Source organism: Homo sapiens, chromosome 12 (assembly GCF_000001405.40).
Source record: "Homo sapiens chromosome 12, GRCh38.p14 Primary Assembly".
Taxonomy (NCBI): domain Eukaryota; kingdom Metazoa; phylum Chordata; class Mammalia; order Primates; family Hominidae; genus Homo; species Homo sapiens.
The window spans coordinates 105,506,068-105,528,556 of NC_000012.12; the positions used below are offsets into that span (position 1 = coordinate 105,506,068).

General features: G+C 41.1%; 1 long non-coding RNA gene across 3 annotated transcripts in view; it reads left to right on the forward strand.

Annotated features, from left to right (window-relative positions):
* Positions 1-22,489, forward strand: part of LOC105369958 (uncharacterized) — a 60,334-nt gene that overhangs the window by 16,366 nt on the left and 21,479 nt on the right. Inside the window, exons 2-4 of one of the 3 annotated variants that reach the window (XR_001749300.2) lie at positions 3,702-3,810; positions 5,421-5,515; positions 7,589-7,708. This is a non-coding gene — a long non-coding RNA (uncharacterized LOC105369958). Of the gene's footprint in view, positions 1-3,701; positions 5,516-7,588; positions 7,709-22,489 lie in introns of those variants that run through there. The other 2 variants (XR_007063438.1, XR_945305.2) reach the window with 2 other exon arrangements.

Here is a 22,489-nt window from a genome sequence, read left to right on the forward strand (position 1 = left end):
AATAAAGCAGAGGGATACGGAGACTTCAGTGTGTTTCAGGCTCTGAGACTTGGTAAGAACACATGACAGAGAGGTGGGTGTGAGAGAGAAAAGGAGAAAGAGAGGAGAGAGAGAGAGAGAGAGAGAGAAAAAGAGGAAAGACAGAGGAGAGACAAGGAGAGACAGACAGTGGCAGGGGTGGGGTGAAGGGAGCGGGAGGGGAGACATAGTAAGGAAAGATAGAAGAGGAGAAAAAAAAAGAAGAAATAGGAGAGAGATATGGTATAATCAGGCTGCTTTCAATTGCAAGTGACAGTAAGCAACTAAAACTGGTTTAAGAAAAAAAAATTAACAGAAAGAATAGAAGCAGCAAAAAGGCTGCCAGCAACTCCAGACGTATTCCTATTTTCTCAGGATCCCTGAAGGACAGGTGCTTTTCGTTTTTCCTTTTTCTAATAGTTACAACCAAAGTTTTGGACTTGGATTTCATTGACACAGATTGGCCAACTTTGAGTGTCCTGACCAGGATAGGGGGATGTCAGGACCAGCCAAACCAGATGGATTAAGAAAGGAGGAGATTGGTTTCCCAAGGAAAATCAGTATGCTGTTACTAAAAGAAAGTGGAGTAGATACTGGGCAGGTGAAAACAACAGATCTCTACTATACATGATGAGGAAATCAGAGAGAGAGAGAGGGAGAGACAGAGAGAGAGAGGGAGAGACAGAGAGAGAGAGAGGTGGGAAGAGAGAGACATGAGAGAGATTAGAGATGAAGATGGGAAAGTTATTATAAAAGAGGAGAGAATGAAAGATGAAAGAAAAAAGCATTTGAGAGAAAGTAGAAAAGAAAGAAAGGCAGAAAAATAGAGAAAGAGGGAGAAAGGAAGGGAGAAGGAAAGGAAGGAAAGAATAAAAGGAAAACGGGAAGAAGAAAGAGGGAAAAAGAAGGAAGAAGAGAATGGAGAAATAATGGAAGGAAGAAAGAAGAAAGGGAGGGAGAGGTGTGTTTACCTGCATGTGTGCATGAGAAACACAGATGAGTAACACAAGGTGTGGCAAGCCTCTGCTACAACTTAATATCATGACCCAGGATCTCCAAACAGACCAGATTCTAGGAAGAGATGAGGTCTTACTGAAGTTCCTACTCCCTTCCCTCTCTCCTGAGTGTGGTCCCAGCCTACATCATCCTTATCTCACCTATTTCCACCCCAGTGGTATCCTGGAGCCTCTGGATTCTCTTGGGAAATTGTAGAATTGTCTCCCCAGTGTCATTGCCATGCTTTGGTCCAGGAGCCCAGGGGCTTCAGTCTGCCATGTGTTTTCAGCGTATGGCTGCCTGAAAACACATCTGTCAACCTTAGCATTGGAGAACAAAAGCTTGGGTTTGACATGAAAAGGACAGCAGAGAAGCAGCCTTGACCTAACTGCCATGTGGCATTCCTAAGTGCGCAGAGCCTCAGCCTGGAAGATATGCACAATACTTGAAAGAAGCCTTTTATCCAGGCAAGAGGGGATAAACACATCTGTATGGCATTGATTTCCCCCTCCTCCTTTCTTTCTGGGATTTGGAGCGGGGTTAGGGGGAGGAACAATGAAAACATTTGAAACATCTGACACTGAGTTGGGGTTGTGGATAGGCAGCATTTGGGGGGAAATGAAAGGTGAAATGCCAAATTTAGTTTGGCTCTTCTTTCTTTCTGGCGCCGTTTTTTTCCTCTTACATTCAACCCATATTTTCCTTTTAGCACCAGTGGGGGTGGTGGATCATGTAACATTCCTATTTAGCACACACATAGCTTGCCTTGTCTTGAAAGCGAAGCATACACTGACAACGGAAACCTCACAACCTCCTGAGTGGGAGACAACCTTAGGATTCTGGCTTCCAGGATATTTATGTTGGTTACTGTTTAGTGTGCTGAACACCAGCCGGGATCCCTTGACTCACATCTGAAACGGGATCGGAATCTGAAGGCATAATTCCTCTGCTGGAAACACAAAGGTTGTAGGTATACAAGAACACACAATTATATTGAAGAAGAAATAAGCCATTTATACAAGAGGGGACCAAGTATACCCATGTGTCAGGGAGAAAGGGTTTGATACGTTATGTTCTGGAATGGATTGGGCCGTTTTTCCTGAAGCTCACCACACAACCCACTAGGACAGTTTGGGCTCTGCTATGGTCTCCCAGATATCCCAGGGAAAGGCTCAGTGAAGCTGCAGGCCAAAACCAGGTAAGAGAAATCATAAAATGAATCACCCAAGACTCATGATACCTGATACCGTTTATTTGGTTACATGGTGTGGCAGACCTTGGTTCAAACTCCAGATGTTTTATCTAGTAGCAAGATGGTCTTTGGAAATTCAACCAACCTTTCTGAGTTTCAAATTTTTAGTTTTCAAAAATGAGGATGTTGTGAGATTTAAAATACAATAATATATAGGTAAAAGGCTTGATATGGTAGAAACGTAGCAAATTCTAAGTAACCTATATTATTTCCTGCCAGTGTGTTCCCAACTAGGGTGTAAGCTTCCAGAGTGCATATATACTAATTTTTTGGATTTCTATAATACTTTAACTTTAATGCTTTGTAAGCTTACATGGAATTTTTTTAATCAAATGTACATTGGTTTATTATAAAATTTTTTCCCTACTAAGATGGATTTTAGAGTACCTTTTTGAGGAACTCTGCCTTGAACCCTGACCTTGAACTGAGGTCAAGAGTTTTTTAAGAAACCGTTTGATTAAGATATAAATCACATACTATAAAGTTCAGCCTTTAAAAGTGTACATTTCAGTGGTTTTTAGAATATTCTTAGAGGTGTGCATCCATCACCACTATCTAAATCCAGATAATTTTCATTAACCCAAATAGAAACCCTATACCCATATACCTATTGGCAATTTCTCCATTCTCCCTTTCTCCCCTTGGAGGTGAGGCAACCACTGTTATATTGTCTGTCTCACCATGTCTATAGCTATATAATGACCTATGGATCTGAAATGGTGTCGACTCCCTCCAAAATGCATATGAGTTAAGCGGAGGACAGATGACACAGGAGAGGAAAATCAGGATAACATTTAAGGAAAAAGAGCTGAAATGGACACTGGGTGCCCAGAAAGACAGATACTTTACTTCTTCTCCATGTAATGATTCTCCCACAAACATCTTTGAGGTTTATGTTGCCCAGCAGATAGCCACTAATGATAATGTGGGTATGGAGCAGCTGAAATGGGACTACTCCAAATTGAGTCCAAATACACATTGAATTTTGAAGACTTATTATGAAAAAAGGGATGTAAAATACCTCATTAATACTTTTCTTATAGTAATTGCATGTTAAAATAATATTTTCAATGTACTGTATTGGGTTAAATAAAATATATTCTTCAGTGAAATTCACCTATCTCTTTTTATTTTTTGTAATGTGGCTACTAGAAAATTTAAAGTTACATTTGTGGTTCACATTATATTTCTGTTGGATAGTGATTCTCTAGATGCTTCTAGATTTGTTTTTCAACTGCCTGTCTCTTGAGATCAGGGGCTGTACATTATTTATTATTTTTTTCTTTAGTACAGGGCCTTGTACATGCTATGCACTTAACACATATTGTTGAATGAATATTGTCTGCCCTTAATGATTCCTCATTTCAAGTAAGATGAAAGCAAACTTCCTTGACAATCTGACTCCAACATTGTATTTCAAACTTCTATCCAAAAGGAGGTTGGACCATATCTCCTGGGCTATGTTTTGCTCAAAGAGGCCTCTATACTCCTCCTTCCCAGTCCAGGCTGCAGAGACCATGGAGCCCAGGGTACAGGAGGGAGAGGTGAGTGAAAGTGTGTGTGGATGAGACATGCTGTTTTGTGAAGAGTTGTTCATCTCTTGATGTTTAAGACCATAGCTTAGAGAACTTTCATTCTCTAAAGCTCTCTAGATTTTTAAGAAATTACTGAAGCATTTCCCTTACTAAATCCACTCATTTGCTACATGCAACTTGGACTTTCTGGAAACTTCTGAAGATTCACAGAGTCCATAAATGTCCTTGTCCTCCCTTTGGCTTAAATTAGTTCATCTATGTTTTGGTCACTTTCAGCAAGATGAGTTACAAGAACCCAGTCAGGCCAGGTGTGGTGGCTCACGCCTGTAATCCCAGCACTTTGGGAGGCCAAGGCAGGTGGATCACGAGGTCAAGAGATTGAGACCTTCCTGGTCAACATGGTGAAACCCTGTGTCTACTAAAAATACAAAAATTAGCTGGACGTGGTGGCATGCACCTGTAGTCCCAGCTACTCAGGAGGCTGAGGCAGGAGAATCGTTTGAACCTGGGAGGTGAAGGTTGCAGTGAGCCGAGATCACACCACTGCACTCCAGCCTGGTGACACAGCGAGACTCCATTTCAAAAACGAAACAAAACAGAACAACAACAACAACAACAACAAAAAACCCAAAAAGAACCCAGTCATCACAGAATCTGTACATGGCCTGTGGGTGGTAGATGCTGGCCCTACACATGAACGGTTCCATGGTCCTCATCCATGACAGAGTAGGACCTATGACCCAGATCCTTTGGCAGTGAGTTCAGTGCTCTTTCTTCTTATGCCATGCTCGGCCATGAGGAGAAATCCTGAAGTTCTGCACATTCTTTGAAAAAACACAGTGATGGAAGTGAGACAGATTGTGGGCACAGGGCCATAGCCCTGTTGAATCTGCACTTGTTCCACAAGGTTTGAGTTGTTCCCTCAGACTTTCAGAAAATCATTGTTGTGCTAATGTTTCTTCTTGCTTTCTTTTAAGGAAAAGTGTTTGAGAAGAGTACAACACAGCCACCACCATTTTTTCCTAGGTCAACAAGCACGCCTGTGTTCTGATAATTAAGAGTCCTAATGATACACATCTAATGGTAAAAAGTTCAGGGTTACTGACTTTAGTCATGGCTGGATCCAGGTGTTTAACATGATTTTATCAGGAAGTTGCTTCTCTCTCTGCCTCTGCCTTCCTTGGCATTGAATTCATTTTTAGGATGTGTGGGGGTTTACTGTTGAGGTGGTCACTGGCAGCTCTAGGTTTATGTTCTCACAAATGAATGACTCTTTCTTGATCACACCAGCAGTACTTCTAGGATTATCTCTTATTGGACCAATTTATGTCCCATTTCTACTGCTGAGCCATTTCATCAGTTCATTGTTAAACCATTCAGACAAAATACATTGACTGCTTTCCATGTTCCAGCAGCCACACACTTTTTATGAGGAGCCTTCAAATATTAAAATAAAGGAATACTAGCAGTATTTTTTAGGAATAATGTGTTTTTCAAGTTCAATGCTATATTACATTAAGCACTGTGAAGCCAGGCTGTGGGAACAATAAAGCTTTTTTTGATGAACCTCAAAATTGCAAATTGAGGTGGTGAATGACAGTCATCTCCTTTTCTCTGAGGAGCCCAAATGTCAGAATGCACCCATGTCTGAGGTCATCCTTCCTTTGAAATACCTGCCACGATGACTGCAGCTCCTGCAGGTTTCCCTCCCCAGGTGAGTCTGGGCATCCCTGTGGGAATCCTTGCCCATTCCACACACCCATCTAGTTGCTGCCTGCCTCTGCTGGCTCCAGGACTGCTGCTGTCTTCTTTCCATGTGCTGCTGCTTGCCCCTGGTTGACTTTCAGCTGACACAGGAAAGCTCTTTTTGAAGCTGCTGCCATTCCTTCCTGTATAGAATCCAGGACCGTCCTGTTTCCTATAGTAATGGCAAAGATTGGGCTGAGTTTTTTGACAGGGTTCTACTGGATATTTTGGGAGAGAACTACAAGGATGAGAGAAACCTACACTTACTACCAGATAGAATTGGGCTCAGAGGTTCCTTTCCTGGGGCTCTCTGAAGGGTTCTCTCTTACTCTTGTCCATCTCATCTGCTCCAACAGAAGCGTCCTCTAGTGTGTCTGTGTCTCTATGTCCAGGTCCCAGTGAGCGCAGGGCTCAGAGACATGAAGGAGTAAGTCATGCCTCACTCATCCCGGGCTAAGGCTTTAATTTCCTATCTCAGCACCTACTTCGTCCCAGCATAGTTAAAAATACGAATATTCATTCCCTTCAGGGAAGACCTGCTTCTTGTCGCTACACACAACTTTACTCTTTAGCCTTCAGTAGATCAAGGTCACTAATACGTAAGTCACAAAGTCACTAATACATAATATATAAGTCCATATAGCAATCCATTTCCCAAAATGTGTGTTTTTCAGTCTTAAATAACAGCACAGTGGTATAGCAGCAACAGGTCCATGCTGAGATGCACCAAACGCAGTCCTGCTTCTCTTCCTTGTCTCGTCCTCTGTGAGGGGAACAGATGGGGACCTTTAACATTTCCTTCCAAGCACCTGTCTATTTGATTTCTGATCCTCCTGCAAACTATCTTTTGAAATGGAACATACCCAACTCTGAAAGAATAAAAAAATGTTTAGCTATGGTAGTCGATGAAATCCTCACAGAAAAGAAACTTTTTTACCCCCAAAGGCAATAGTGTTCACAGAGACATAGCTTTAGGAGGCTCTGAGCATAACCAAACAGGTATTGAGCTTGTTTGTCTAAATTAGATGTATTTAATCTATCGGATTCCTGACTTTCTCCAGATGTTCTTGCTTTACTTTTGCATATTGTACTAGTTAGTGTTCTCCAGAGAAACAGAATCAATAGATTTACTTATTGATTGATTTTATTTTATTTTTTTCTTGAATAAAGCATGGTATAGTCATTAGTTACAACCCTTAGAACAGTCATTAGGCCAGTCATGCCATAAGTCAAGCCCTCAGCTCCATCTGTGGCAAGGGGATTTGTTTGCCTGGACTTTTGGAAAATACTAGGATTCTAATTACACCCCAAATTCAAATTGTGTGGGTGTTGCTTTCTTTTCCTGAATCAGATAATACAAGTTGATATAAAGCAGATAATAAAAACGTCATACTTCAAAGGCCTTGTGAACCAACATCCTTTCACAATTTTTAGATGAGATTTTGAATGTATAAACTTTCCCTGCAAACATGTTCTAGGGATGACTCAGTTTCTTTTAAAATCTGTGTAAGGCTGGGCGTGGCAGCTCAAGCCTGTAAATCCCAGTACTTTGAGAGGCCAAGGAGGAAGGATGGCTTGAGGCCAGGAATTCGAGACCAACCTGGACACCATAGTGAGACCCCCGTCTCTACAAAATTTTTTAAAAATTTGCCAGATGTAGTGCTCTGTGCCTGTAGTTCTAGTTGCTTGAGAGGCGGAGGCGAGAGGATTGCTGGGGCCCCAGAGTTCAAGGTTTCAGTGAGCTGTAATTGTGCTACTGCACTCCAGCTTAGGCAACAAAGCCAGACCTCATCTCTTAAAGAAAAAAACTTCATAAACAGCTCAATGTTAGTGAATTTTCACTGACTATATTAGAAGACACTGAAAATAATTCTGCCAAGAAATTCTCTGCAGAAACTTAGACAATTTCTGAACCACCTTTAAATCCTCCTATTGACGGAGGCTTGGAGGGCATTGTGTTAGAGGGGCACGTGCCACTGGTTGGCTACTCTGAGGCAGACTCTGCACCCAGCAGTGAATATTTGTGTGGTTTTCTCCACAGGTCCCGTGGGAAGATGTCCGTTATCTCTTTGATGAGATCATGTATGGAGGCCACATCACAGATGACGGGGATTGCAAACTGTGTCGGGTGTATTTAGAAGAATTCATGAATCCATCTCTGGTAAGACATTTGTAAATTAATTAACTTGTAATTTCACTGAGGAAAAAATTCTGGTAAGAATTTTATAAACTAATTATACTATGGGTAATTCTTTTTTTTATTCTTATACTTTAAGTTTTAGGGTACATGTGCACAACTTGCAGGTTTGTTACGTAAGTATACATGTGCCATGTTCGTGTGCTGCACCCATTAACTCGTCATTTAACATTAGGTATATCTCCTAATGCTATCCCTCCCCCCTCCCCCCACCCCACAACAGGCCTGGGTGATGTTCTCCTTCCTGTGTCCATGTGTTTTCATTGTTCAATTCCCACCCATGAATGAGAACAGGCAGTGTTTGGTTTTTTTGTCCTTGTGATAGTTTGCTGAGAATGATGGTTTCCAGTTTCATCCATGTCCCTACAAAGGACATGAACTCATCATTTTTATGGCTGCCTAGTATTCCATGGTTTATACGTGCCACATTTTCTTAATCCAGTCTATCATTGTTGGACATTTGGGTTGGTTCCAAGTCTTTGCTATTGTGAATAGTGCTGCAATAAACGTATGTGTGCATGTGTCTTTATAGCAGCATGATTTATAATCCTTTGGGTATATACCCAGTAATGGGATGGCTGGGTCAAATGGTATTTCTAGTTCTAGATTCCTGAGGAATCACCACACTGACTTCCACAATGGTTGAACTAGTTTACAGTCCTACCAACAGTGTAAAAGTGTTCCTATTTCTCCACATCCTCTCCAGCACCTGTTGTTTCCTGACTTTTTAATGATTGCCACTCTAACTGGTGTGAGATGGTATCTCATTGTGGTTTTGATTTGCATTTCTCTGATGGCCAGTGATGATGAGCATTTTTTCATGTGTCTTTTGGCTGCATAAATGTCTTCTTTTGAGAAGTGTCTGTTCATATCCTTCGCCCACTTTTTGATGGGGTTGTTTGTTTTTTTCTTGTAAATTTGTTTGGGTTCATTGCAGATTCTGGCTGTTAGCCCTTTGTCAGATGAGTAGATTGCAAAAATTTTCTCCCATTCTGTAGGTTGCCTGTTCACTCTGATGGTAGTTTCTTTTGCTGTGCAGAAGCTCTTTAGTTTAATTAGATCCCATTTGTGTATTTTGGCTTTTGTTGCCATTGCTTTTGGTGTTTTAGACATGAAGTCCTTGCCCATGCCTATGTCCTGAATGGGATTGCCTAGGTGTTCTTCTAGGGTTTTTATGGTTTTAGGTCTAAGATTTAAGTCTTTAATCCATCTTGAATTAATTTTTGTATAAGGTGTAAGGAAGGGATCCAGTTTCAGCTTTCTGCATATGGCTAGCCAGTTTTCCCAGCACCATTTATTAATAGGGAATCCTTTCCCCATTTCTTGTTTTTGTCAGGTTTGTCAAAGATCAGATAATTGTAGATCTGTGGCATTATTTCTGAGGGCTCTGTTCTGTTCCATTGTTCTATATCTCTGTTTTGGTGCCAGTACCATGCTATTTTGGTTACTGTAGCCTTGTAGTATAGTTTGAAGTCAGGTAGCATGATGCCTCCAGCTTTGTTCTTTTGGCTTAGGATTGACTTGGCGATGCGGGCTCTTTTTTGGTTCCATATGAACTTTAAAGTAGTTTTTTCCAATTCTGTGAAGAAAGTCATTGGTAGCTTGATGGGGATGGCATTGAATCTATAAATTACCTTGGGCAGTATGGCCATTTTCACGATATTGATTCTTCCTACCCATGAGCATGGAATATTCTTCCGTTTGTTTGTATCCTCTTTTATTTCGTTGAGCAGTGGTTTGTAGTTCTCCTTGAAGAGGTCCTTCACATCCCTAGTAAGTTGGATTCCTAGGTATGTTACTCTCTTTGAAGCAATTGTGAATGGGAGTTCACTCATGATTTTGTCTGTTATTGGTGTATAAGAATGCCTGTGATTTTTGCACATTGATTTTGTGTCCTGAGACTTTTCTGAAGTTGCTTATCAGCTTAAGGAGATTTTGGGCTGAGACGATGGGATTTTCTAGATATACAATCATTTCATCTGCAAACAGGGACAATTTGACTTCCTCTTTTCCTAATTGAATACCCTTTATTTCTTTCTCCTGCCTGATTGCCCTGGCCAGAACTTCCAACACTATGTTGAATAGGAGTGGTGAGAGAGGGCATCCCTGTCTTGTGCCAGTTTTCAAAGGGAATGCTTCCAGTTTTTGCCCATTCAGTATGATATTGGCTGTGGGTTTGTCATAGATAGCTCTTATTATTTTGAGATATGTCCCATCAATACCTAATTTATTGAGAGTTTTTAGCATGAGGCGTTGTTGAATTTTGTCAAAGGCCTTTTCTGCATCTATTGAGATAATCATGTGGTTTTTGTCTTTGGTTCTGTTTACATGCTGGATTACATTTATTGATTTGTGAATGTTGAACCAGCCTTGCATCCCAGGGATGAAGCCCACTTGATCATGGTGGACATGCTTTTAGTGTGCTGCTGGATTCGGTTTGCCAGTATTTTATTGAGAATTTTTGCATCAATGTTCATCAAGGATATTGGTCTAAAATTCTCTTTTTTGGTTGTGTCTCTGCCTGGCTTTGGTATCAGGATGATGCTGGCCTCATCAAATGAGTTAGGGAGGATTCTCTCTTTTTCTATTGATTGGAATAGTTTCAGAAGGAATGGTACCAGCTCCTCCTTGTACCTCTGGTAGAATTCGGCTGTGAATCCATCTGGTCCTGGACTTTTTTTGGTTGGTAAGCTATTGATTATTGCCTCAATTTCAGAGGCTGTTATTGGTCTATTCAGAGATTCAACTTCTTCCTGGTTTAGTCTTGGGAGGGTGTATGTGTTGAGGAATTTATCCATTTCCTCCAGATTTTCTAGTTTATTTGCGTAGAGGTGTTTATAGTATTCTCTGATGGTAGTTTGTATTTCTGGGGGATCAGTGGTGATACCCCTTTATGATTTTTTATTGCATCTAGTTGATTCTTCTCTCTTTTCTTCTTTATTAGTCTTGCTAGCGGTCTATCAATTGTGCTGATCTTTTCAAAAAACCAGCTCCTGGATTCATTGATTTTTTGAAGGGTGTTTTGTGTCTCTATTTCCTTCAGTTCTGCTCTGATCTTAGGTATTTCTTGCCTTCTGCTAGCTTTTGAATGTGTTTGGTCTTGCTTCTCTAGTTCTTTTAATTGTGATGTTAGGGTGTCAATTTTAGATCTTTCCTGCTTTCTCTTGTGGGCATTTGGTGCTATAAATTTCCCTCTACACACTGCTTTGAATGTGTCCCAGAGATTCTGGTATGTTGTGTCTTTGTTCTCATTGGTTTCAAAGAACATCTTTATTTCTGTCTTCATTTCGTTATGTACCCAGTAGTCATTGAGGAGCAGGTTGTTCAGTTTCCATGTAGTTGAGCGGTTTTGAGTGAGTTCTAGTTTGATTGCACTGTTAATCCTGAGTTCTAGTTTGATTGCACTGTGGTCTGAGAGACAGTTTATTATAATTTCTGTTCTTTTACATTTGCTGAGGAGTGCTTTACTTCCAACTATGTGGTCAGTTTTGGAATAGGTGTGGTGTGGTGCTGAAAAGAATGTATATTCTGTTGATTTGGGGTGGAGAGTTCTGCAGATGTCTATTAGGTCTGCTTGGTGCAGAGCTGAGTTCAATTCCTGGATATCCTTGTTAACTTTCTGTCTCAATCTGTCTAATGTTGACAGTGGGGTGTTAAAGTCTCCCATTATTATTGTGTGGGAGTCTAAGTCTCTTTCTAGGTCTCTAAGGACTTGTTTTATGAATCTGGGTGCTCCTGTATTGGGTGCCTATATATTTAGGATAGTTAGCTCTTCTTGTTGAATTGATCCCTTTACCATTATGTAATGGCCTTCTTTGTCTCTTTTGATCTTTGTTGGTTTAAAGTCTGTTTTATCAGAGACTAGGATTGCAACCCCTGCCTTTTTCTGTTTTCCATTTGCGTGGTAGATCTTCCTCCATCCCTTTATTTTGAGCCTATGTGTGTCTCTGCATGTGAGATGGGTTTCTTGAATACAGCACACTGATGGGTCTTGACTTTTTATCCAGTTTGCCAGTCTGTGTCTTTTATTTGGAGCATTTAGCCCATTTACATTTAAGGTTAATATTGTTATGTGTGAATTTGATCCTGTCATTATGATGTTAGCTGGTTATTTTGCTCGTTAGTTGATGCAGTTTCTTCCTAGCCTCGATGGTCTTTACAATTTGGCATGTTTTTGCAGTGGCTGGTACCAGTTGTTCCTTTCTATGTTTAGCACTTCCTTCAGGAGCTCTTTTAGGGCAGGCCTGGTGGTGACAAAATCTCTCAGCATTTGCTTGTCTGTAAAGTATTATATTTCTCCTTCACTTATGAAGCTTAGTTTGGCTGGATATGAAGTTCTGGATTGAAAATTCTTTGCTTTAACAGTGTTGAATATTGGCCCCCACTGTCTTCTGGCTTGTAGAGTTTCTGCCAAGAGATCATCTGTTAGTCTGATGAGCTTCCCTTTGTGGGTAACCCAACCTTTCTCTCTGGCTTCCCTTAACAGTTTTTCCTTCATTTCAACTTTGGTAAATCTGACAATTATGTGTCTTAGAGTTGCTCTTCTTGAGAAGTATCTTTGTGGTGTTCTCTGTATTTCCTGAATCTGAACGTTGGCCTGCCTTGCTAGATTGGGGAAGTTCTCCTGGATAATATCCTGCAGAGTGTTTTCCAGCTTGGTTCCATTCTCCCCGTCACTTTCAGGTACACCAGTCAGATGTAGATTTGGTCTTTTCACATAGTCCCATATTTCTTGGAGGCTTTGTTCATTTCTTTTTATTCTTTTTTCTCCAAACTTCTCTCCTCGTTTCATTTCATTTAGTTGATCTTCCATCACTGATACCCTTTCTTCTAGTTGGTCGAATTGGCTGCTGAGGCTTCTGCATTCTTCACGTAGTTCTCGTGCCTTGGTTTTCAGCTCCATCAGGTCCTTTGAGGACTTCTCTGCATTGGTTATTCTCGTTATCCATTCGTCTCATCTTTTTTCAAGGTTTTTAACTTCTTTGCCATGGGTTCGAACTTCCTCCTTTAGCTCGGAGTAGTTTGATCATCTGAAGCTTTCTTCTCTCAACTCGTCAAAGTCATTCTCCGTCCAGCTTTGTTCTGTTGCTGGTGAGGAGCTGCGTTCCTTTGGAGGAGGAGAGGTGCTCTGATTTTGAGAATTTTCAGTTTTTCTGCTATGTTTTTTCCCCATCTTTGTGGTTTTATCTACCTTTGGTCTTTGATGATGGTGACGTACAGATGGGTTTTTGGTGTGGATGTCCTTTCTGTTTGTTAGTTTTCCTTCTAACAGTCAGGATCCTCAGCTGCAGGTCTGTTGGGGTTTGCTGGAGGTCCACTCCAGACCCTGTTTGCCTGGGTATCAGCAGTGGAGGCTGCAGAACAGCAGATATTGGTGAACAGCAGATGTTGCTGCCTGATCGTTTCTCTGGAGGTTTTGTCTCAGAGGAGTACCCGGCCATGTGAGGTGTCAGTCTGCCCCTACTAGGGGGTGCCTCCCAGTTAGGCTACTCCGGGGTCAGGGACCCACTTGAGGAGGCAGTCTGTCCATTCTCAGATCTCCAGCTGCATGCTTGGAGAACCACTACTGTCTTCCAAGCTGTCAGACAGGGACATTTAAGTCTGCAGAGGTTTCTGCTGCCTTTTGTTTGGCTATGACCTGTCCCCAGAGGTGAAGTCTACAGAGGCAGGCAGGCCTCCTTGAGCTGCGGTGGGCTCCACCCAGTTTGGGCTTCCCAGCCACTTTGTTTACCTACTCAAGCCTCGGCAATGGCGGGCGCCCCTCCCCCAGCCTCACTGCCGCCTTGCAGTTTGATCGCAGACTGCTGTGCTAGCAATGAGCGAGGCTCCGTGGGCACAGGACGCTCTGAGGCAGGTGCAGGATACAATCTCCTGGTGTGCCATTTGCTAAGACCATCAGAAAAGCACAGTGTTAGGGTGGGAGTGGCCTGATTTTCCAGGTGATGTCTGTCACTCCTTTCCTTGGCTAGGAAAGGGAATTCCCTGACCCCTTGTGCTTCCTGGGTGAGGCGATGCCTTGCCCTGCTTTGGCTCACGCTTGGTGCACTGCATCCACTGTCCTGCACCCACTGTCTGACAATCTCCAGTGAGATGAACCCGGTACCTCAGTTGGAAATGCAGAAATCTTTCATCTTCTGCGTCGCTCATGCTGGGAGCTGTAGACTGGAGCTGTTCCTATTCGGCCATCTTGGCTCCACCTGATTGATTTTATTAATTATGGGAATTGGTTCACATGGTTATGAAGGCTGAGAAGTTCCACCGTATGATATTTGCAAGCTGGAGATCCAGGAAAACTAGTGGGGTAATTCAATCCAAGTTTGAAGGCCTGAGAACTTAGAGGGTAGGAGGGTGTGTTGATATAAGTCCTGGACTCTGAAGGCCAAAGAGCTTGGTGTGAGAAAGCAGGAGAAGATAGATGTCCCTGTTAAAGGAGAGAGAGAATTTGCTCATCCCTGATCTCTTTGTCCTATTCAGGCCTTCTACAGATTGGATGATGCCCGGCCACACTGGGGAGGGCAGATCTGCTTTACCAATCCAAATATGAACTGTATATTCTGCCAATCCAAATATGCCAATCCAAATATGAACCTCTTCCTGAAACACCGTCACAGGCACATAGAAATAACGCTTAACTAATAATGTTAAAATTTAGTATTAAATAATAATGTTTAAATAATGTTTATAGGGGCACCTCATGACCCAGTCAGGTTGACACATAAAATTAACTTTTACATGTAGCTAAAAAATCATTGATATGGTTTTCTTGAAGAAAGAAAGAAGGAAAGAAAGAAAACCTGAAAAATGGTTTGGCTTATCCCAAAGGTGAGATCAGGTTTTGGTCAGGTTCCTAGCTGGCACACTCAAGAATCTTCCATGCACAATCCTACCTTAACTCTCATATTTTTATCCTCTACTACTAGCCAGTGTGTCATTGGCTTCAGCTAGAACAAGACCTTCACTCTCCCTTGTAGGTTCTGTGCCAATTCAGCCTCCACACTTTTATTTATGTTGTGATACCACTGGGTTCCCTCTCAAATTCTGTCCAAATCCCATCTATCCTTCAAGGGCCTAAAGTCAACCTTGTCTAGGAAATCCTCCCCAACTAGCACGCTGAATTTCCATCATGTTTTATTTCTCTCAACAATTTGGACTTATTTAAGTTGCAGATAGGAAAAATGAGGTGAAAGGTCTATTATCTAACTTCATTATTTTAAAAGAGGGAACAGCTTTGACTAAACACACCTTGATTTGTCCATTGAGGGTACAAGAAAACTCAAAAGGCATGGGTTTTGGTGGGCTCAGAGGAACAAAGGGAGATGGTTCAGTTGCTCCGACTGAGGGAAAAAAGAATCATTGGTTATCTGCCTCTGGTGGGGGAGTAGTGGGGAGAAGAGAAAAGAAGAGAGGTGATGAGGAGGAGTTGTGGGGAGGAGAAGGAAGAACCAGTGAGATCAGCTGAGGTGGGGCTTCTGAGAGCTGAAGAGCAAGTTCCCCATGGCGAAGGGCCTTTACAAGGGGGAGTGTCTGATATTCATTGTGAAGTTGTCTTGTGCTTTGTTGATGTCATTCCTTTTCTCTGCTTCCCCCACACCTCAAGGAAAGTCTGACACTCTCACAAGAGCCTTGAGCTGGCAGGTTTTTTGCAGGGAATTGAAGAATGAGCTGGGTTTTATAGCTGGGTTGACAGAGTGTGAATATGAAAGCATGGGCGAAGAAAAGCAAGAGGCTGGACATAATGACTGCACCCAGACTTTGGCGAAATCTTTGGGAAGAATCTTTGAGGAGTTCTAGTTGATTGTAACCATATCTCAGGGGCTCACAATGGGGCTTCTCTGATTATAGTCCCAAGGTCCCACTCCTCCAGAAAGCTACTTCTCATTCTTTCTTTGTTCTTTCTTCTTCATTCTTTCTCACTTTCTATGATGTCTCCTCCCTATTCCTTTCCCGCTCTTGTTTTATCCTGTCTTATTTACAGCAATTTGGCTTCTCTCATCCTTTTATCTTCCTTCTCTGTAAGCACGATAAAGACCTGGTAATGAACCAAATGATCAAGAGATACTTCCTTTTGGAATAACGGGAGGTAGAATGCAGAGGAGGTAGACTGCAAATCTTTATAGTTTAATATATTTTTGTATCCATCTTACACTCATCTGTACAAACACATGTATACATATAGGTCTTATTAGAACCCTCAATTTTTAAGTTCTATGACAGTAGGGACCATGGCTTTTTCATAAGTACCCTTTCTGTCCCCTCACAACAATCCAGCGTGGAACCAACCATATAGCCCTTAATCAATGAATTATAGAGGACCTTTAGTGAGTTACATGACATCTTGGGAGGAGGGAGGAGATAGAATGGAGAAGGGGATGGGATTGAAATTTATAGAGCCTCTGTTGCATGCCAGGCAGAGTACAAGGCACTTTACATGTAACATCTACAGTATACTTAATGCCCACTATGCATCCAGCATGCTATGCAAGTTCTTATTTAATTCTTACTGCTGGACCATGTTACTCAATTTCAGGAGTTGTGCAATATGGCGCCCATGTTCATAACCATCATGTAACACAGATATCATGAGTACTATTGTACAGGTGAGGAGTGTGGGCTTCCAAGAAGCATTAACTCTGTCAAGTTTCCATAGCTAGATTTGCAGAAACGTAATATTTGCCCTGGTCTTTTTGACTCCATGGCCGTGGTCTTTTTTTCTCACTTTACCACAAAACAAATCTATTTCAAATATTTGATGATAAGATATGTAGAAGCCAGGAATGAGGAAGCCAGTGCTCATACCCAATATGGTATGGAGTAAGAAAGGAATGGGTGGACACAGGATGACACATTCCACTCCAGTTGCGCTTCTCAAGGGAGATACTATTGACATACTTCTCCTGGACAATTTTTTTTATCATGTGGGAATGTTCTGTGCATGACAGGATATTTTGTATCCTTAGTTTTTGCCCAGTAAATGCCAGGAGTGCTCTTTCTCTTCTTGACACCCCCAAAGTAAATACTCTCAGACATTTCCAAATTTCCCTAGAGGAATAATACCACTATAGATCAAATTGCCTCCTTGAGTGATTTCCTAAACCCCCTTTAGGTTTAGTTGTCAATAATTCTGTGTAGAAATGAATGAATGGATGAATGGTCAGGACTAATTGCAGGCACAGACTGCTTTTGTAAAGGCAGGTTTAGATGGGATATTCCTGTGGCCTTGGATTACTTAGATCACTGGGGACTTAGGACAATGCCCAAATAGAAGTGTGATGACCCAGATGTGAGACAAAGGACCCAGAAGGCAAACATCATCTGCTCTTCAGTTTACCTCTAACCAGACCCTTTCCTGGTGCTTTCAAGGCTGCGAAATGAAGATTCTGCCTGCTCAATGACAGCCCCAAGTGGGAACAGAGGGAGGGAGGGAGGGAGGGAGGGGCAGCAGCCTCACTGTAGTAAAGTGGAATGCCATCGCCCTCCACGCTAATGCAAACCAGCTGCCGGCCGGCCCCAGCTTGCGATAGAACAGGCGGAATTCTTGGACACTGAGTTATTCTTAGAAGCATGTGCGCAGTCCCCTGGCAGGGCTCACTGTGAACCGGCCATTGCCAGCCCCCTGTCAGGATGCTGTGCCAGCAGACTCAAGAGTGATTGTTCTCGCTTATGAAAAATAACTTTGGGATTTTAATTTCAAATTACCCACAGAGATGGGGCTGGATATGGAGAATATGGTGCTAAGGGCAGAGAGGAGAGTGAGACAAAGGACAGGGAGGACAGGGAACATCACCCATTCATTCGCAAATACATATTAAGTATCTGCTATGTGCAGATACTGGGGTTCTCATCACACCCAGACTTCCATTTGAACTGGGTGGACACAGGTGAACAGTTGTCTAGACCCTGAGAGTGAACACTCCCACGTGCTTTTAGATTCTGTTGATTGAGTGCTTTTTGTGTGCCAGGCTCTTTACATCAGGGATCTCACTTAGTCTTCACAGTAGCACTGTGAAGTGAGCAGCATTGCTCCTGTTTTACAGGAAACTGAGTGTTGGAGAAAGAATCTGCCTAAGGCTTCACAGCTATCAAGTGGCCGAGCCAGGATTTGAACTCTGGCCAGCAGGCTTCTGCCTTCACGCCTGTGTTGAGCACCAACTGTATGCCAAGGTCGAGTTAGACATCGAGATTGTGAAGCCAAATAAAGGGGCTGAATCTTAGCCCTTAAGTCTCTCTGTTGAACTGTCTATGGGAGCGACAGGCATATGACAAGGAATTATAATAACGGGGTTTGTAAAGCAGGAGATCAGAACTATGGATAAGCTCCACTGGAATGTGGCAGGGCCAGCAATCAAAGAGGAGGGAATAGTTGGGTGTTATGTAGGGAAGGCGATGGAAAAAGGGCACTTCAAGCAGAGAAGCAGCATGGGCGATGGTCTGTGGGCCGGCAGGTGCAATGGGCTTAGTGGAGCTGCAGCACAGGATACACTGAGGGGATAGGAGATGAGATGACTGGAAAGGCGAGCAGGACCTGATGGTAAAGAGCCTCGTGGGACAGACCTAAGAGCTGGAACTTTGTCCTGGAGGAACTGAAGACTCCTCTGTCCAATCGTTTAGCCACTTGCTCATTTAGTGTATATTTATTGAGCACTCACAGTATGCCAGGCATTCTACATGTAAATAATTTTAAGCAGGAAACAGGTGCATGAGTTTTACTTTAGAAAAAAAAATTCCTATGTGGAAAGTCATTAAGGGGCCTCCATGGTGGCCCAGGTAAAAGATGATCCAGGAATGACCAGTGATAGCAGCTGGGAGTTTAGAGACATACATGAGATGTCCACTTGACACACATAGGGGATGAAGTGAAGCTTATTTCCTCTGCAAAGCTCATTGATGAATGCATGCTCGCATTATGGGGAGTATCTGCAAATGAGGGTTAGTATCTAGCAAACCTATATATGTCTGGTCCTGTCAGCAGAATTGCATGTCCATTAAGGAGCATTTGTGTTTGGTTCCAAGCCCATTTATGTCATTCTTAGTTATTAATTACTTAATCCAGTATTAACCCCAAAATAAAATAAATTGTGCCAAAAAAAGGGAACTGTTTCTATCAATGCTGAGTTGAAAGCTTTGTAAAGGCAGACTAAGAACTGCTAAAACTTACTATGGAATTGGGTGTGGATGAGACAATGAAAGGATCGGGAAAATCATAAAATTCTAGCAAGATTCTTTACTCAGATTGCTTTACAAGGGTCTTTAAGGTCTCTCTCAACTTCAAAGAAACTGATGCTGGAAATTGTAGATGATGCATTAAAGGGTGTGGTGTATGTAAGAAAGATGACAAGGAGCTGCAGTCAGCAGACCCATTCTCAAAGAAAAGCCTTGGCTCCACATCAAAAGAGTGGTGAATGAATGTGCATTTATATGTTTTAAGTTAAAATTAAACAGGTTTGGAGTATGTACGTATCATTTTTTAGCTTTAAGTAAAGTTTTTATTGAAGTATAACATACATTGAAAAAAGCTCACAGATCTAAGATTATAGTGGGATATGTTTTTGTAAAGTGAACACCCAGCATAACCAGCAACCAGATCAAGGACCAGAACTTTGCCAGCACCCCCAAATCTTTCCTCATGCCTTATTCCAAGCATTACACACTCCCATCTCAAATGTAGCCACTACTCTGACTTTTATCAGCATTAATGAATTTCACCTATTCACCTATTAAATAAATCAGAATTTTTTTTTTTTTTTTTGCTTGGAGCTTAACTTGTTTTGCTTGGCATTATGTTTGTAAAAGCCCTCCATGTTGTTTAGTGTTGAAATAATTTGCTCAACCTCGTTGTATAGTATTCTTTGAGCTATGTGTTGGTACACAGTAAGCACTCAGTAAATGATAGTCAAATAGAGATGTGAGTGACCTTTAGTAAGACAACACCTGGACAGCTGTCCACCATCTGAATTTGAATGGTGCTCTGGAAGTGTTGAATACCCCCAGTTTATCTATTCAGTCTACCCTGAAGAATATATATGTTGTTCCTAGTGACTAGCTATTATGAATAGTGCTACTATAGACACTTTTATACAGATCTTTTGATGAACACACGCAGGCATTTCTTTTGAGTATATATCTAAGAGAAAAATTGCCAGGTCCTAAGTTGTACATATATTCAGGTTTAATAGATACTGAGGAAGAGTTTTTCAAAGTGGTTGTGTCCATTCTGCTTCTGTTTGTGGAGTAAGAAAGTTCTAATGGCTTCCGCATTCTTGCCAACACTTGATATTGTCTATGTTATTGTTTCTAATTATAGCTGTTCTTGTGGGGGTAAAGTGATATCTAATATTTTTGTTTGCTTTTAATAAATCTTTTATTATAGGATAATTTTAGATTTACAGGAAAGTTGCAAAGACAATGCGAAGAGTTCCTGTATAGCCCTCACTCAATTTTCCCCATTTGTGAACATCTTCCATTACTGTAGCATCTTTGTCAAAGTGAAGAAACTGATATTGGTAGGTTGCTATTAAGTAAACTCCAGATTTTATTTAGATTTCATCAGTTTTTTCCAGTTTTATCCTCTTTCTGTTATAGCAACCCTTCTTCCAGGGTACCACATTGCATTCGGTTGTCATGCCTCCCTAGTGTCTTCTGGTCTGTGATAGTATCTCAGTCTTTCCTTTGTTTTTTATGACCTTGATAGTCTTGAGTGATACTGGCAAGCCCTCCTATAGCAAGTCCCCCATTCTGGGTCTGTTTGATGTTTTTCTTATGGCCAGAATGGAAGTAAGAGTTTTTGGAAATAATGTTACAGAGGTAAAGTGTTTTTCTCATTACACCAAAATTAAAGAGTACATGACAGCCACATGGGATCATTGATGATGTTAACTCTCATCACTTGATGAAGGTAATGTTCTCCCCAGATTTCTCCACTGTGAAGTCACTATTTCTCCTTTTCTCAATCCTATATTTTGGCAGTGAATCACTATGCCTAGCCCACCTCAAGTTGGGAGGAGAGGGAGACTTAAGTTCTACCTTTTGGAAGGTGGAATATCTAGGTATATTATTTAGATTTTTTCTGCAAGGAAGATTTGTTTAATCTCATTCGTTCATATCCGTAAGAACTCATGTTAATTAATGTTAATTAACATGAGTTAATTATAATCTTTGGGTTGTAATCTAATACTACATTATTTATTTGTTGCTCACATTTTTTCATCTCTGGCAATTGGGAGCTCTTTCAGGGTGACTCCTATGTTCCTTTAATGTGCCATCCCCACAATCCTTTTGCTTTTAAAGTACTTTCTTACTTTCTGGTACTACAAGATACTCCAGGTTTATATTACATTTTCCCTGCCCCAGCCTCACCCATTTCTTTAAGAAGCCCTGATTTCTTTTATTGGAGAATAGGATTTAGAAATCAAGATCTCAGTGCGTGGTGTCTCATTGTGGCTTTCATTTGCATTTTCCATGAAGAGTGTCACCTTTCCAAATGTTTATTGGGCATTTTTATATTTCTTTTAGCAAGGTGTTTATTCAAGTCATTTGCCTATTTTTTTTACTGGAATGTCTATATTGTTTACTTATTAATTCAGACATTATTTCCTTTTTTATGTATTCTGGATTTTAGTTCCTTCATTAAATATATGCATTATAAATATCTTCTTCCACCCTGTGGCTTGTCTTTTCATTCTAATACTAGTGTCTTTGAAAAGGACATTCTTCATATTATCACGGTACAATTAGTCACTTTTTCCTTTTATGATTCTGTTAATAATTATTAGAATGTTTTCCTATGTTATCTTCTAAAAGTTGTATTGTTTTATGTTTAGATAATAAAATACACCTGGAATTGATTATTGTGTGTAGTGTAGGGAGGGGTTAAGATGAGGTTTTTTTTTCCATATCCAACTGACTGCTCCCGTTTATTGAAAAGACCATCCCATCTTCACTGCAGGCGTTTTCATCTTTGTTTCTGAACTCTGTTCAGTTCTGTAGGTCTATTTGTCTATCCTTTCACCAATACTACACTATTTTAATTACTGTAGTTTTATAAAAGTTTTAATATCTGGTAGTATAAATTCTCAGTTTTTAAAGTTCTTCAATATTATTTTGGGCATCCTTGGCACTTCTCATTTTTATATAAATGTTAAAACAGGTGAATTTTCTCTGGCACACACACACACATACACACACCCTACCTACTAGGAATTTTATTGAGATTTCGTTGAATTTATAGATCAATTTTGGGAGAACTGACACCTTTAAATGATCAAGTCTTCTTCTCCATGAAAATATAGCAAATTCCTCCACTTATTCAGGCGTTTTAAAATTTATCCGAAGAATGCTTTTCAGTTTTTAGGATAAAAGTCTTATTTATATTTTGTTTTCATTTTAAGTATTGACATTTTAATGTTATTTTTTGAGGTAGCTTTACATTTTTCACTTGTAATTGTTTATTGACAGTGTATTTAAAATATTATTTAAAAATATATTGATGTTAGCTTCCCTTCTTTTTTTTTTTTTTTTTTTTTTTTGTCACCCAGGCTGGAGTGCAGTTGTGTGATCTCAGCTCACTGAAATCTCCACTTCCTGGGTTCAAGCGATTCTCCTGCCTCAGCCTCCTGAGTAGCTGGGATTACAGGTGCAGCCACTACGCACGGCTAATTTGTGTATTTTTAGTAGAGACGGGGTTTCACCGTTTTGGACACGCTGGTCTCGAACTCCTGACCTTGTGATCTGCCCGCCTCAGCCTCCCAA